The 16,025-nt window shown below is 42.0% G+C and overlaps 1 protein-coding gene across 2 annotated transcripts in view, besides 4 other annotated features; it reads left to right on the top strand.

The window, feature by feature from the left end:
* Nucleotides 1,484-1,623: an enhancer, noted in NCBI's record as "active region_13197". NCBI's record gives its function as "activates an Ori minimal core promoter by ATAC-STARR-seq in GM12878 lymphoblastoid cells {active_cell/tissue: GM12878}" and the evidence as "EXISTENCE:reporter gene assay evidence [ECO:0000049][PMID:35858748]".
* Nucleotides 1,824-2,293: a silencer, noted in NCBI's record as "silent region_9384". NCBI's record gives its function as "represses an Ori minimal core promoter by ATAC-STARR-seq in GM12878 lymphoblastoid cells {active_cell/tissue: GM12878}" and the evidence as "EXISTENCE:reporter gene assay evidence [ECO:0000049][PMID:35858748]".
* DSG2 (desmoglein 2) overlaps nt 2,094-16,025 on the top strand; it is a 50,832-nt gene continuing 36,900 nt past the window's right edge. Inside the window, exons 1-2 of one of the 2 annotated variants that reach the window (XM_047437315.1) lie at nt 2,094-2,213; nt 13,215-13,252. Coding sequence is in view for 1 of the 2 variants with exons in the window: in NM_001943.5 (NP_001934.2) it covers nt 2,169-2,213 (45 nt within the window). In the remaining variant the exon portion in view is untranslated. The remainder of the gene's footprint in view (nt 2,214-13,214; nt 13,253-16,025) is intronic. The other variant, NM_001943.5, reaches the window with a different exon arrangement.
* Nucleotides 4,339-4,448: an enhancer, noted in NCBI's record as "active region_13198". NCBI's record gives its function as "activates an Ori minimal core promoter by ATAC-STARR-seq in GM12878 lymphoblastoid cells {active_cell/tissue: GM12878}" and the evidence as "EXISTENCE:reporter gene assay evidence [ECO:0000049][PMID:35858748]".
* Nucleotides 15,171-15,240: an enhancer, noted in NCBI's record as "active region_13199". NCBI's record gives its function as "activates an Ori minimal core promoter by ATAC-STARR-seq in GM12878 lymphoblastoid cells {active_cell/tissue: GM12878}" and the evidence as "EXISTENCE:reporter gene assay evidence [ECO:0000049][PMID:35858748]".

Raw genomic sequence — 16,025 nt, forward strand, 5'->3', positions numbered from 1 at the left:
GCAGCTGATACAATCCTGCTTCAGCAACAAATTAAAACATTAAGCTCACTTCTAAGAAAAGCTCTTAATGATAGTAGCACTGGATGTATGTTGTTATCAGATGAATTTGCTCAGCTATGTACTGTTGTGTTGCAAATGGAAAGGCATTAGATATGCTTACTGCAGCCCAAGGAGGGGTTTGCACCTTACTGCACTGGATGTTATGTGTATATCCCTGACAATTCTCACAATATTACTCTCCTTGCAAAGCCATGATGGGTGTGTTATTAATTTTGCTTTTAATTCTCCTGTGCTTACCCTGTATCTGTAATCTCTATCAACTATGCCTTCCCCATGTATCTGTAGGGGTATTTTCCTGCGATTGAGTATCAGATTGAAGCCGAATGTGGAGGAAAACTTAAATATTAAATTTGAACTCAATTGAACATGGACACAAACAATGGCCACCAAGTCCCAGAACAGGTGGTGTGAGCCCCTTGAGGAATTCATCGAGCGCTGTTTCAAATAAATCTCTATTTAAATTCCTATTTGTTAGTTATTGAAACACAACAGACAATCGCAAACACAAGTTGACCTTTTTGTGTTCCTTGAGTCCAGTCGGGAAGGGCCCTTGTGACTGGGTCTCATGCCAAACAACTTGTTACGATAAGAGCTAGGGTCCCAGACCATGAGGAAACTTCATGAGAATCCTCTGTAGTCTGGTGAGTGTAGTGTCCGACTCTGGAGCCCAGGCTGTTGCTTCCCGGTGTGGTGGTGAATCCTCCACAGTCTGGTGAGTGTACCTATAAATATATCTTTTCCTTCTCCCCTTCCCATTGCAATTTGCTTATTATATCATTTGCTTATTATATCCGCGTTGCCATTTAATTGGGATAAAGGTTGTTTACCCTTAAAAGTATGGTGTGTGTGTCTTTTCTTCTCCCCTTGCGCCTTTCTCGCACAGAACAATAGGCTCGTCCATTACTTTCAGTCGTTACATTTCTTGGAAGTTTCGTAATCCGGTGCTGATTCTAGTGTTTGGATGCCCATACTAAGTTTCTGCTTTTCAAGATGTCAATTTAACATCTCACCTCGCAATCACGTTGTTCTAATTTTAACAATTATTTATTGAACCCTTAAGTTCTAGACACTGCAGAATGCTTTACCTAAGATTTTCCAATTTCGTTCTCAAAACTTCCCCGTGCGTTGGTCGCTATTAACTCCATTTGACAGATCTGGAAACTGGGGCCCAGAGAGGCTAGTCCAGGCCACTCAGCTAGTCACTCTTGGAGCGGGGCCTCTGATCTAGCTAGTGGTGTAATAGAAATTGTAAATCATTTCAAAGAATATATATATTTCCCGTAACACCCTAGAGTTTTCTCCTAGCCCAAGAATTGTCCTTTTTGACCTCTGGTGATTGTTTCTCCTTGAGCCAGATAAGCTGCAAACCTGTTGGAAGCAGTGAAGGGCCATAGGGAAGAGCAGCCTTTGGGGAGACAGCCACCTGAAATTCTGCTCCACAACCTCCGCTCCAGGAGAGCGGGCCGAACGCACCGCGGTCGCAGCTTTCCTGAGGACACGGGTCCCCATGTCACTAGCGACACCTGCGCTCCGGGCCCAAAGCACAATCACAAAGTGCGGGACCTTTGGGCGGTGCTGGGCGGCCTGGCCCCGCAGCCACTGGGCCGGTTGGTCCCGCAGGACTCTGCTCCGTGGAGCTTTTGTCCTTGGGCCGGGGCCCTGCGACCCGCGCTACCCAGGTCGAGCCCCGCCAGGAGGCTCCCTCCTCCCGCCATTCTCCAGAGAGTAGGGGGTCGGGAAGGAGAGAACGGCGGGGCGGGGCCTGCCACCCACAGTCCCCAACCCAAGGACGTCACGGTCCCAGGTGCGAGTGCGAGCGGGCGGGAGTCCACCCCGCGCCTCCCTCCTCTGCTGAACTCCCCACCTCTGTAAAAGCGGCCCGGGCCGGCCCCCGGCTCCATTTTCTCGCGGCGGCCACACCTGGAGCCGCGCCTTTGGGTTGGGCTGGGCTGGGCCGCGCAACCGCCACGGGAAGACAGCCCTCGGGGCGGGGAGGGAGAGGGTGGCCGGGCCGGGGGGAGGCCGGGGCCAGGGAGGAGCCGAGTGCGCGCTCGGGGCAGGCGGCGGCGCGGAGCGGTGCGGCGGCGGGAGGCGGAGGCGAGGGTGCGATGGCGCGGAGCCCGGGACGCGCGTACGCCCTGCTGCTTCTCCTGGTAAGTGCCGCAAGCGGGACAGGGGAGCCACCGCCGGGGAGGGCGTCGGTAGGCGAGGTCTAGACCTCGCGACCAGACTTGCCCGCCGCCCTTGTGCGCGTTACCTGCCCGGCGCTCCTTCCTGCTGCCCGAGGGGGGAAAAGGGCCGGGCAGGCTGCGGCGAGATCCGACCTGGGGCTTCGGAAAATCCTCTTGGCTGGAGCCAGGAGAGTAAGTTGCGACCTATCGAAGTTGTGTTTTCCTTCCCGCGTCACCCAGGCCCCAGCGCCCTTTTCTGTGGTGTGTGGGTGTAGTGAGCCCTGGGGCGGGGAACACCATTGCTGGGGGTCGGAGGCTTTGTTGAGAGTCTCTGGGACGAGAAACGTGGAGGCAATAGGGAACAACCTCGCGCTTCTTCCACGTTCCTTAAATTTCCCTAGGATTCCCCAGCTCCTCTAGCCGCCGACACAAGCCAGTGAACTGGGGAAACCAGGAACATACTTGTATTCTTAGAGTGCAAAAAGTTGGCTAAAAATTTTTTAAAAAGGTGTAATTTACAAAGCTTAATTTTAAGTGGATCACCCACATATAGTTTTAACTTAAAGTTTATGAAGTTGGTGTTTCAAAAGTTTTCCAATATTAAAGATAATAAACATATGTAATAGTTTGAAGCCTTATTCATTTAAAAGGTTACAGAAAATGGAAGTGTAGCGCCCCCTCCCCCACGCCCCACCCCTCACTCCCGGAAACGACGTTCAGTCCCTGGATTTAGAGTTCTTTTGCTCAAATTGGATTTTAAACTGTTGGTTTTCTGTTTGTTTAAGGGGTTGCACGTATGTATCTCGCTTATAGGGGTTTACTAAAGGGGTTTTAATAAAGTGACAGTTATGCTGCAAATATAGGTGTGAGTTCACCTTCCAGAGAGTTCACAAATATGTGTTTACAGAGATTAGATGCAAAATCATACTCAGTTTTCTTACGTAATAATTAAAAATGCAAATACATTCACTATATTCAAAGTTCTAACTTCCAAAACATGAGCCCTTCTATCCTCGAGTTTTGGTGGGATGTGGAAGAAAATCGTGTGTGTGTGTGTGTGTGTGTGTGTGTGTCTCAAAACGGAAAAAGGCGTGACTGAATCCAGTCTAGAGATTTCCATGAACTCTCAGGTGGAAGAGCATGATAATTAGGGCGTCCAGGCCTAGCACACAGTTCATTTTCATGCTCTATTTATCCATTTCATTTTCCCCGTGTCCTTGAGGTAACTTTCAATGAAAATTCATTTTGTTGACAAAACTTTTCTAAGACGTGATCTGGGACGTCGTTTTTAGCCTCTGGGCTGGCAAAACAACTAATCCTGTCACCTTGATGTTTCCTTGTTTAAGGAGAATCCCAAGCTAATGTAACACCTAGCTTACTTTGAGAGTTACATATTCTTTCCATATATGAAAATAAATGACCTTTAATCTTCAAATAATGTAGCAATCAGGCCAATTTGTACACTCACAGAGTAGCAGGTAAGCAAATTAGGCATATCTTTCATTTTAGCAATTTGATACTTTTACCTTATTGGGCAGTAATAAACATCTCCTTTAGAAAGCGACTATAGCCAATGGAACAGGAGCAAAATTCTTGGACTGTTCTATGTATTTTCTATAAAACTTTCTGCAGTATAAATTTGAATATGTTTATTTTTGTCCAGAGAGTAGTGGGCAATGCAGCATTTTACCCCCAGTGTGTTTGCAGTTGCAGTTTTTTGGTAAAAAAAAAAAAAAAAAAAAAAATGGAAAGCAACTCATCTGACAGAAGTAGTTGCCAAGGAAACAGGTCCTTTATTGGAAGGAATATAAATTGTAGTCTGTTAGATCAGAGTTCAGTTGCAAATAACGGAATTTACTCTAGCTATTTAAAGCAAGAATAGGTTTATTTCGGGGCACTAAACTGACTACCTAAGTGTAGGAAGGATTGAGAAGACTGCCATTTGAGCTGTCAGTAATGACTTCAAAGCCACACAGCAGAGCCACACCGCTTAGGGAGCTGCTGCCTCTCCTGTGACCAGGAACTGCACTGCCACTCCCACAGTCTGAAAAACTGCTGTGATCAGGGTGCTACTTTTGCTACCAGCTGCAGACCCATGCATGCCACATCTGCTAGGATGCATAACAACATGGATGCTTGTACCTTGCCTCTTGGTGTTCACAAATCTAGTAGCTGGACACTAGAGCCATAATAAGATGACTACAAAGAACCCAGCTCCATACGTCCATATCTGCTTGCCAGGAGGCACAGAGCTCTGTTTCACTTCCTTCTTTCAAATCTCATGTAAATACTAATTGAACCCAAACCCCATTCAGAACGAAGCCTGCAGTGGAGTCTGTGACACATGGTCTTTCGCTTTCCTCAGCAGTGCAGGGAGACACACCAGAAGGTAGCTGTGTCACCCACATAGCTATCAAACATTTAGGCCAGCTGTATCAAAATGGGAAAAAGAAATAATTTTCTGAATAAAATCAGAGAATATTTCCTCTTCAAGGGTTCTTTGCAATCCATCAACTCCCAAATGGTTCACAGATAGAATTCAAAGAGTTCCTAGAGATGGCAAGGAATTAATTACATATATATTTTAACTAACTTCGGACTGAAATTTAGTATTTCTTTAAATTATGAGTGTGGGGAAGACACTGCACAGTAGTGTGAGCAGTAGCTGTGACTATCACAATAGAATTCATAAATACCTTTACATCTTATGGTGATCTCAAAATACCATTTATTCTGAACATCACTAATAGACTTTCTACTAGATCTTTTACTTAATATGTTAATAAAATACATGATACTGCTGCATCACAAATTGGTATTTTAAAAATGCTGATAACTATTTCAATATAATTGGGTTCATTGATAATCCCCTGTATTTTATTTTATACATTTGAAATCATTAATCTGAGAAGGGGTTCATAGGCCTCGCCAGATTGCCAAGGAGGGCTCGTGGGTGAGAGATTTCCTGATGGTTGCTTCAATTTTGGGTTCGACTAATGAAGCTTGTGCTTTAAAATCAAACTACATTTTAAGGATTCAATGATAGCAGATCACACTGTGAGCAGATATATTTAGTAGGGTATTAGTTTGCTAGGACTGCTGTAACGAAGTGCTAAAAACTGAGTGGCTTAAAACAACAAAAATGTATGATCTCACAGTTCCAGAGGCTAGAAATCCAAAATCAAGATATGGGCAGGGCCATGCTCCCTCTGAAACCAGTTTCCCTCCTTTCCTCTTCCAAGTGCATACTGGTTTGTTGGCAATCTTTGTCATTCCTTCTCTTGTAGGTGCATTCATTACTCCAATCCTCCATCTGCGCATGGCATTCTCTCTTTTGTCTCTTTATATCATCTTCCCTCTGTGCATGTCTGTGTCCTTGTCCAAATTTCCCCATTTTATAAGAACATCGGTTGTACTGGATTATGCCCCAAAATAATGACCTCAGCTTGGTTAAATCTGCAGAGACCCTATTTCCAAATAAGCTCACATTCTGAGGTACTGGTGGTTAGCACTTCAATATATTATCTTTTAGGGGTCATAATTTGATCCATAACAAGTGGATTCAAGTATCTATAAATTATCAATAATATCAGAGTTATGCTTAGTGTTCTAATATACAACTGAATAATATATATTAAAGAATACATTAAAGTATAAATTAGATGGTGAATATTGAAGCCATAAGAATAATCAATTATCATATCCAAGGATTTTAGAAACATGGATTTCTTACTGGTTTTTGTTTCTAAAAGTTAGTAGGTAATGGGAAAATGGCAGCTCTTAACAGAAATTTTCTTTAATTATAACTTAAGGCAAGTACTTTACAAAGAGATATGAGCATTCATTGGCCTACGTACTCTCTGATTATTAGAAATCCCCGATAAGCTAAATTAAAGTTTCCAAGGCTAATATTCTGTGGTGTGTGAGTGTAGTGAGCCCTGGGGCGGGCTCACTACAATATAAATATGTATTTATAGAAACTTCCCAATTGATCTAATTGTCAGACAAGTGTAAGCGTGAGAATTACTGGTCTATATTTTGCAAAAAAATCTATATTTATGACATAGAAAAATTTACATGGGAAAAATTACACATTGAATAGGGATAAGTGTTTTTGAAAACTGCCAAATTATATTTAAAATTAGAAACTTTAGGCTGGGCACAGTGGCTCACGCCTGTAATCCCAGCACTTTGGGAGGCCAAGGTGGGCGGATCACCTGAGGTCAGGAGTTTGAGACCAGCCTGGCCAGCATGGTGAAACCCCATCTCGACTAAAAATACAAAAAATTAGCTGGGTGTGGTGGCACATGCCTGTAGTCCCAGCTACTCAGGAGGCTGAGGCAGGAGAATCGCTTGAACCTGGAAGGCGGAGGTTGCAGTGAGCCGAGATTGTGCCACTGCACTCCAGCCTGGGTGACAGAGGGAGACTCTGTCAAAAAAAAGAAGGAAGGAAGGAGGGAAGAAAGGAAGGGAGGGAGGGAGGAAGGAAGAAAGGAAGGAAGGAACTTTAACTGAAAGCATAAAGGACTTTTAGATCTATTTGAGCAATTTTTAATCACAGCTTTTTTCCCTTGTCTTTCACTCTGACACAGATTTCAATAGCTTTGACAACAATTTATAAACATATAGTCTACATATGATGAGAAACTATCTTCTCAGTTTTGTTTTTTATTAAGTTTTTGTCATATGCAAAGCTTGGTGATTAGAGTGAAGAAGCTGGAACAACAGAATTCCTACCGTGGTCGATAGTGAGATGAGAAATGTCCATAAGAAAAGAAACCAGACACATGACCCCTATTTAGTGAATCCCTGCTTGATGCTAGGCAATGTGCTAAACACTGGAGAACTATAAAAAAGCCAGACATGTTCTGCCCTCATGGTGCTTACAGTCTAATGAATGGTATAACAAGTAAATGGCTAACTTCCAAATGGGTAACGATAAGAAGAGTAATAATAGAGAAACGTAGTACCATGGAGCCTATAGAAGGAGCAACTATCTCAGCACTGGGTATCCCAGCTGGTATCTGAGAATAATTATAAATTAGTGAGATGATATGAAGAGAAATAGATTCTAGGTAGAGAGAAGAGCATCTAAAAGGCCTGAAAATGATAGTTCATGGTTCTGCAGAGGAACCTAAACATTCATTGTTGCTTGAACTTAGAAAGTGAGGCAGAAGAATGTATAGGAAGATAGGCCTTCAAGCCAACAGAAGCCCAGAAAAGCTACTTGCCAAGGAAGTGTTTTCAGGGAGGTATTCACATCACTAAGTAAATGAAAAGATGGGCTTTGGGTGAGATGGTCAGGAAAGAGTCAAGAAAGAAGAGATAGGATTTGAGTGATTAAGTATAATTGCGCCCAGTTAAAAAGAGAGGCAACAGGCATTGAGGACTTGGTAAGCTGAGATCAAAGCCAGGCAGAAAAGCCCAGAGACCATGGGGTACCTGGGAGGGAGAAGCAGCCTGACTGCCACAGGGAGATTGGTTTGGGAGCCAAAGGGGTGGGAAGGCATTTTGGTTGTCACAGTGCCTGAGGATGCCCCTGGTATTTAGTTCCCAAGGTCCAGGGATGCTAAGACTCTACATTCTGCAGAACCTTCAAGAATTGGGCACGTGTGAAGAATTTTTCTATCCAAAATGCTTATAGCACCCACATTGAGAAACAGTGATAGGCAAAGTAAGAGGTTCTAAGTAGGGATTTATTTTACTTGTCTGGACCCTCTTTTTGAAAGGCAAATATCTCTTGGGTTGATTACGCCTTGATACATTCGTCCACTCAACAAATATTGAGCACCTACTCTGTGCCAAGCACTGTTCCAGGTCTCACCTCGAAATCACACCTGACTGTGGATTATTTTCATCAGTCAAGGAGTTTCCATCTGGCTGACTGGGGAATGTTTTGGATGGAGATGAGAGGAGATGAGACCGTTCAGATTTCCCTCGGTCTAAAACACCTCCATCCCACCACTCTTTCAAGCCCCCTACAATGCAAACAAAAACATTAAACAATGTTTGATACCCACTGCCTCAATTTAATGATCCAGTCTCCTTAGACCCCAAAAGTGCTAATTGAGAAACTGGGCAAGGGTCCTAGCTCAGTCATCATCTTCTTTTAAAACCATTAATCATATCATTTCTTGTTTCAGTTATCGCCTTCCTTTGCTTTCTCAGTATTCTGGGGTTCCTTTCACTTACAGGAACCTGCAGTGCTTCTCACCCCTTTTTATCTGGCCTAGCACGATGGGCAGACGGCAGAGGGGGGGACACAGTACATATATTACTAGGAGACATCAAGTAGGGGTGGGAGACAATGGCAGTGGCCAAGAGGGTGCTGCCCTTAGGACAGTGTGCATGTGGATGTTGAGAATGTCCCCAGTGGCCAGGCAATCCATGCTCGTCATTGAGCCGCACTGCCCTGCTCTCTGTTATGTAGCATCTCTCCGCCCTACTCAGATACTTTCCCCAGGACCTAAGCTTAACATGTCTACAATCTGTCTTCTGGAAATTGCATCTTTCTAGCCACTCAGACTGAAAACGTTGGCACCCTCTGACTCCTTCCCTATTATCCCCACACAGGGCATTGCCAAGGATTTTTGTCCCCATAAAGACTCCTACTTCTACCTGTCTATCTCATTGCCATTCCCCTGATACTGTTCCTCATTCCATCTCCCTGACTTAGTAATTTAATCTCTGAACTGTCTCCTGCCTTTTATCTTGCACAGTACTGCCAAAAAATCTTCAGAATCACTAGCGACATAGTCTCCCTAATCAGAAGCTGGCAACGACTCTCCACTCCTTATAAGATCAGTGAAGAGCCTCAGCTCAACGCTTTGTCCTTATTTTCTACTTGCCACCATCGTATAGTTCTAGGTGCCAAACTGCACTACTTCTCATTTTTTGTCCAAATATCTCCATGTTCTGGCACATGGAGTCCCTCATCTGTGCGTTTTCCTTCCTCCTGTATGCACAGAAACAGATTATCTTCCATTTCCAAGGCCAAGCCCATTGCTATCTCCTTGCTAAACCTCTCCTGATTTCCCCGCAAGGAAGTAATCTTGCCTTTTCTGAGTTCCCCAGAACTATTTTTATAGCCGTCAGTTATACAATTAAGGTTTCCTACCTCATAGTAGTTTGATCCTCCTATTAAACTGTAAGCTTCTTCAGAGCAAGATCTTTGTATCTTTTATCTATAAACTAGCTAAATGCCTTGGGCACGGACGTATTCTTTAAAAATGTGAGTTAAAGTATCTTTCTGTGTTTAGAAAAGCTGGAATAATGATATGGATTTCATGTGTTTAAGAGAATTATTTAATGCCCAGATAGGTTAAGTAGTAATTTTTTTTTCTTTTTTTTTTTTTTTCTTTTTTTTGAGATGGAGTCTCTCTCTTTCACCAGGCTGGAGTGCAGTGGTGCAGTCTCGGCTCACTGCAGCTTCCGCCTCCCAGGTTCCAGCGATTCTCCTGCCTCAACCTCCCGAGTAGCTGGGACTACAGGTGCACGCCACCACGCCCATCTAATTTTTGTATTTTTAGTAGAGACAGAGTTTCACCATGTTGGCCAGAATGGTCTTGGTCTCTTGACCTGGCCCGCCTCAGCCTCCCAAAGTGCTGGGATTACAGGCGTGAGCCACCGCACCTGGCCGAGTAGTAAATTTTTGTTTAAATTTTATGCATTTAGCAGTCACAAATTGGGCGTCTACTATATGACCAACAGTCTTCTAAGGACATGTGAACTGCCCCCTGCAATCCTGGAGCTTACAGTGGAGAAAGGAGTATAAGGACAAGAACTTGACATTTTTTGAATATCCGCTGTGTGCCAGTCACTGGATTTAATGAAAGTTAATAATGGGTGAAACTGAATCAAACCCAGGTTCACCTGGCACCAAATGCCTGTCTGTCAACCCAGAGGCATCATCGTGAATTCCCCTTACAGCAGTTTGCTACAGTGAGTCATCAATAAGGTCCGAACTTCTGGAACTAGATAATTAATTTCACTGCAAATTAGAATCATTCTAGAAAGGAAAAAAACAAGAAATGTAAATTAAGATTTACCTCATTTCAGAGATATAATCCTGCAAAACTGTACATATAACTTTCTAAAGCCCTTGATTTTCACTCTTTTCAATTTTGCTGATCCACTTATTTGAGACCAATGAAACGCCTGCTTCCCACTTTAGACCTTGGAATTGCCTGTCGGTTAATTTCTGGTAGTTCCTGCAGTTTGCCTTACTGACAGGCCAGTGCCATCTAATGGTAAAAAAGGACAGTCTGAAGCTCTTGGTTTTCTTAAACTGCCCAGTGAAAAGAAATCATTTTCTTCATTTTACTTTTCAGTTCAGGAATATATTGCAGCAAAAGAGTGGAGACAACCTATAATTTTTGTTTATCAAATTTTGTGAAGTCTGTTATACAGCTTTATTTATATTTTGCCTAATTCCAAAAGCATTTGTGGCCATTACAGAAAACACCTACCAATAAAAGAGTAAAATATTTTTTACATGTCTAGTCATTTAATAAATGCTATTTTGAATTGAAATTGTATTTTAGTTAGTTTGCTTGTTTGAGCAATCCAACGACTTCAAGGAAAAGAAAAAGTATCGTTTTGCTTTTTTGTTTTTTCTTTTTTTTTAATTATACTTTAAGTTCTGGGGTACATGTGCAGAACGTGCAGGTTTGTTACATAGGTTTACACATGCCATTGTGGTTTGCTGCACCCATCAACTCGTCATCTGTATTAGGTATTTCTCCTAGTACTATCCCTCCCCTACCCCCACAGCCTCAACAGGCCGCAGTGTGTGACGTTCCCCTCCCTGTGTCCATGTGTTCTCGTTGTTCAACTCCCCACTTATAAGTGAGAACATGTGGTGTTTGGTTTTCTGTTCTTGTGTTAGTTTGCTGAGAATGATGGTTTCCAGCTTCATCCATGTCCCTGCAAAGGACATGAGCTCATCCTTTTTTATGGCTGCATAGTATTCCATGGTGTATATGTACCACATTTTCTTTATCCAGTCTATCATTGATGGGCATTTGGGTTGGTTCCAAGTTTTTGCTGTTGTGAATAGTGCCTCAATAAACATATGTGTGCATGTGTCTTTATAGTAGAATGATTTATAATCTTATGGGTATATACCCAGTAATGGGATTGCTGAGTCAAATGGTATTTCTGGTTCTAGATCCTTGATGAATCGCCACACTGTCTTCCACAATGGTTGAACTAATTTACAGTCCCACCAACAGTGTAAAAGCATTCCTATTTCTCCATATCCTCTCCAGCATCTGTTGTTTCCTGGCTTTTTAATGATCGCCATTCTAACTGGTGTGAGATGGTATCTCATTGTGGTTTTGATTTGCATTCCCCTAATGACCAGTGATGATGAGCTTTTTTTCATGTTTGTTGGCTGCATAAATGTCTTCTTTTGAGAAGTGTCTGTTCATATCCTTCACCCACCTTTTGATAGGGCTGAGTGTTTTTTTCTTGTAAATTTGTTTAAGTTCCTTGTAGATTCTGGATATTAGCCCTTTGTCAGATGGATAGATTGCAAAAATTTTCTCCCATTCTGTAGGTTGCCTGTTCACTCTGATGATGGTTTCTTTTGCTGTGCAGAAGCTCTTTAGTTTAATTAGATCCCATTTGTCAATTTTGGCTTTTGTTGCCATTGCTTTAGGTGTTTTAGTCATGAAGTCTTTGCCAATGCCTATATCCTGAATGGTATTGCCTAGGTTTTCTTCTAGGATTTTTATGGTTTTAGGTCTTACATTTAAGTCTTTAATCCATCATGAGTTAATTTTTGTATAAAGTGTAAGGAAGGGGTCCAGTTTCAGTTTTCTGCATGTGGCTAGCCAGTTTTCCCAACACCATAAAATGGTATTTTTTGAGTGACAAATGCTTAGGACCAGTAAAAGTTAAACTAGAAGAAGAGGTATAAACCAGGGGAAAACACTACCTAAAGTGTTTTCCTACAGTTCAATTGTAGTTGATGAATACTTGTAAAATGAAAAATCTTTTTGTGATGGGGAGAATTCACAGTTACTGAACTGCCTGATTTATTTTATTTTATTTTATTTTATTTTATTTTATTTTATTTTATTTTATTTATTCTTGAGATAGAGTCTCATTCCGTCACCCAGGCTGGAGTGCAGTGGCGCCATCTCGGCTCACTGCAACCTCCGCCTCCTGGGTTCAAGTGATTCTTGTGCCTCAGCCTCCCTAGTAGCTGGGATTACAGGCATGCACCACCACACCTGGCTAATTTTTGTATTTTTAGTAGAGATGGAGTTTCACCATGTTGGCCAGGTTAGTCTTGAACTCCTGACCACAGGTGATCTGCCTACCTCTGCCTCCCAAAGTGCTGGGATTACAGGTGTGAGCTTACAGGCGTGAGCCACTGAGCCCGGCCTGAATTGCCTGATTTAGAACACATCTTTTCACACATCTGTCTGTAACTAGGGGCTCATTATCCAGTTTATGAATTATCCAGGCTCTCCTCTTCTTCCCTTTCCTATGCTACCATGTGATTTTACACAGTGGTTTCCAAAAGTGTGGTCCCACTTTTGGGGCCAAGCAGCATCAGCATCCCCAGGAAACTTGTTAGATACAAATTCTTGGACCCCATCCAGACCTACTGAGTCAGACACTCTAAGGCGGGACTCAGTAATCTGTGTTTTATCAAGGTGATTCTAATGCCACTCAAGCTTGAAAACCACTGTTAACATCCCAATTAGAAAATAAAAATAACTGGAGTAGAAAAGAAGATTAAATATTAAAAAGCCCTATGTCAAGGGAAAAAATAGGAACTGTCCATGAATATACAAAACTTTACTTGAAATAAGAATTCACAGCATGAATGAACAAGTCAAGTGTAGCAAAGCATTGCTAAATGCATATTTTAAAATTCTATGAGTTAATAAAAAGCTTTCAAAGAAACTGTCTTCCTCTTTGTAACTAACTTCAATATGACTCACCTAAAATCATATTTGTTACATTCAGATTAGCCCAAACATCCGAAGAACAGGTGAAAGATTTTGGTAAGTCATGTACTTTATTACTGTCAGACTTAAAATATTTATTATTATCTAAAGTTCAAATTCAGAGTTCAAAAATTAAAAGTTCAAAATATTGCTCTTTTTTTTTAAATTAGCAATTGTGAAAAATATAATTACATATTTAAATCAGCTGTTGAGTGAGACTGCTATAGGAGTATATAAATGTCTAGATCATCTGTAAGTTGGACTTTTAAGTTGGAATTTTCTAAATAAGTTATGCTGGTTAGCCGTAAAATAAATGTTATAAAAACTGTCTTTTCTTCCTCCTGTCCCCAAAATAAGATTAAGAAGAGAAAAGTGCAGTAGGTGAATTCCAACATAAATCTGACCCACGTCAGATTTATCAGAGCAGATCACCAAACTCACTGGTCCACCCTGACTGCACTGGGTCACTTGAACTCTTCTGAACATGTACATTTCTATGACTGTAGACTACAGAGCCTTCTTTGTGGCTATGGACGCTACTACAGACCAGACCACCAGCTCTGCCAATACAAATAGAAAAGTCAGGATGTGTGACCAGAGGAAATAAACAAGTGGCATCCACTCCCTTTATTTTATCTCATTTTATTTCTTTCAGATTATTTCAGCCAAAGTTGAAAGCTCTTTAAGAATGGATTGGGGATAAACCAGGGATCCTCTGGGCAGTTTTTGATTTGACCTTCTATACAATAAAAGGGAGAAACAAAAGAATTATAAAACATTCTGCTGGTTGGAAGGTTGAGTAACCAAGGAAAGAAAATAACACAGATGTTAGATGATGGGCCTGAGGTGGGCATGAATTTAAAGAACCACTGGCAAGTGCCACGTCCTCTGTGTTTGAGTTCTAAAGATAGTCCGTTGAGCACACTGCTTACCTTCTAGTAATTTCTCGCTGAATGGACATTAGAAGCCATTATAGTGACTGAAAGTTGAAATAATGTTTTAAACTAATTTGTATTTCTCTACATCCATTTTTAATAAGGTATCTCTTAGTCTGATCTATTAAAGTTTAAGGGATCACCTCACCATAAAACCACTGAACACTTCAAGATTCTCTACTTTAAAGGAAAGACTTCTGACAGAGAACCTGTCAGCCAGGAGGAGCTGTCATCCAGTGACTCATGAGTCCTTCTGGATTCTTGTTTAAACTCATCAAGGTGACTTCAGAACAGAAAGTCTTTTCTAAAAGTGCTGACCTTGAAAACAAAGAGTACATTGATTGATGGTGTTTGGTATTCCCTCATGCCTCTGCAGGAAAAAAAAAAAAATCTTTTGCCAGATACCAGGAAGTCCAGTTTTTATAAGATGTGCAGGATCCAATGGTAGAAAAATTTTTTACATGTTTTTCAAAGCAGCAAAACTAGTTAATAAAATACTTTTTTTAGAGTTTAGCAAATTAGAAAAGCTTTTGCAGAATTTTTTGGTTCATCTGAAAACACTGCTTTGGATACAGGAACTAGCAGCTTACTTTTCCTCGTCAGTCTTAAAGTCATGTTGCAGGTGACATTTTTCTGTCACCAAGTTCCTGGTGAGAAAAAAAGTCACAGATTTAGTGTTTGGAGGAAACCTTATTGGCCATTTTGTCCAGCCACCCCTCCCATGCTTGAAACCTCTTCACAGCATCCCCACAGGAGGTGACTCAAACTTACAGAGTGGACAGGTTTTTTAAAAAGTGCCAGGGAGTGGGAATGGAGGACTAAGGCAGAGAGTTTCTGCTTGTTCCAGTCATGTTACTTGCAGTATACTACCCACTAGAGATGTACAGAATCTCCACAGTCCTCTGCAGCTTGTATTACTGTCCTGACCCTGGTTATTACAGTAGCTTCCAATCAGAGAAACGCAGCCATGGTGTCTTAACCTCGGCACTTGGCCAGTTGCAGCCAGATAACACTTAGTTGTAAGGGCTATCATGTGCATTGTAGGATGTTTGACAGCATCTCTGGTTTCTACCCACTAGATGCCACTGGCATTTATCTCCCCTACCTCGAGCCCCACCCTGGTTTGACAACCAGAAACGTCTCCAGACATTACCAAATATCCCCAGTGGCAGGAGGAGCGGGGCAGGGCAAAACTGCCCCTAGTGGAGAACGATTGGTCTAAATTAAGAATGTGTTCTGTGAGATAGAGGATCTTAAGGAACCAGATCCAAATTATTTAGAAAGCAGTGGCTGAGATCTTAACTGCTCAGTCAAATAAACAGACAGTTCCACAATTGACAAAATGTTAGTGCAGTTCTTTTTTCTTTTTTTGTACAATGAATGAAGCAAATATTTCAGTCCATAACACCTTACTAAAAGCATGCTACTGCAATACGTGCTATAAAAATGCAGATAGCAGAACCCTCTTACCTAGATTCCAAGACAACCTTGACTTTAAGATGCACATCAATTCTTCTGATGTTTTAGTGTAACATACATCCAGAAAAGTGCACATATCACGAGTGCACTGAATCTTCACAAACTGAAAACACCATGTCACCAGTAACGAGGTGAAGAAACAGATTGCCAGCATCCCAGAAGGCCCCTTGTGCTCCCTTCAGTCCCTACGATCCCCCTGATAGCCGCTGTCCCAATTCACAGCAGATTAGCCTTGCCTGTGTCACGCTGGCTCCCTAGATGCTCAGCAATTTAATACCAGCCTTTTGAGAGAAGAAAAGAAACATTACATTAAAGATGTACAAAACCTCTAATATGCATCCCAGTTCCTTAACTAAAACCGACTGATGACTCCCAAATTTTTATCTCCGGGCATAACTTCTTTTCTGAGCTACTAA

Source organism: Homo sapiens, chromosome 18, assembly GCF_000001405.40.
Source record: "Homo sapiens chromosome 18, GRCh38.p14 Primary Assembly".
Classification (NCBI taxonomy): Eukaryota; Metazoa; Chordata; class Mammalia; order Primates; family Hominidae; genus Homo; species Homo sapiens.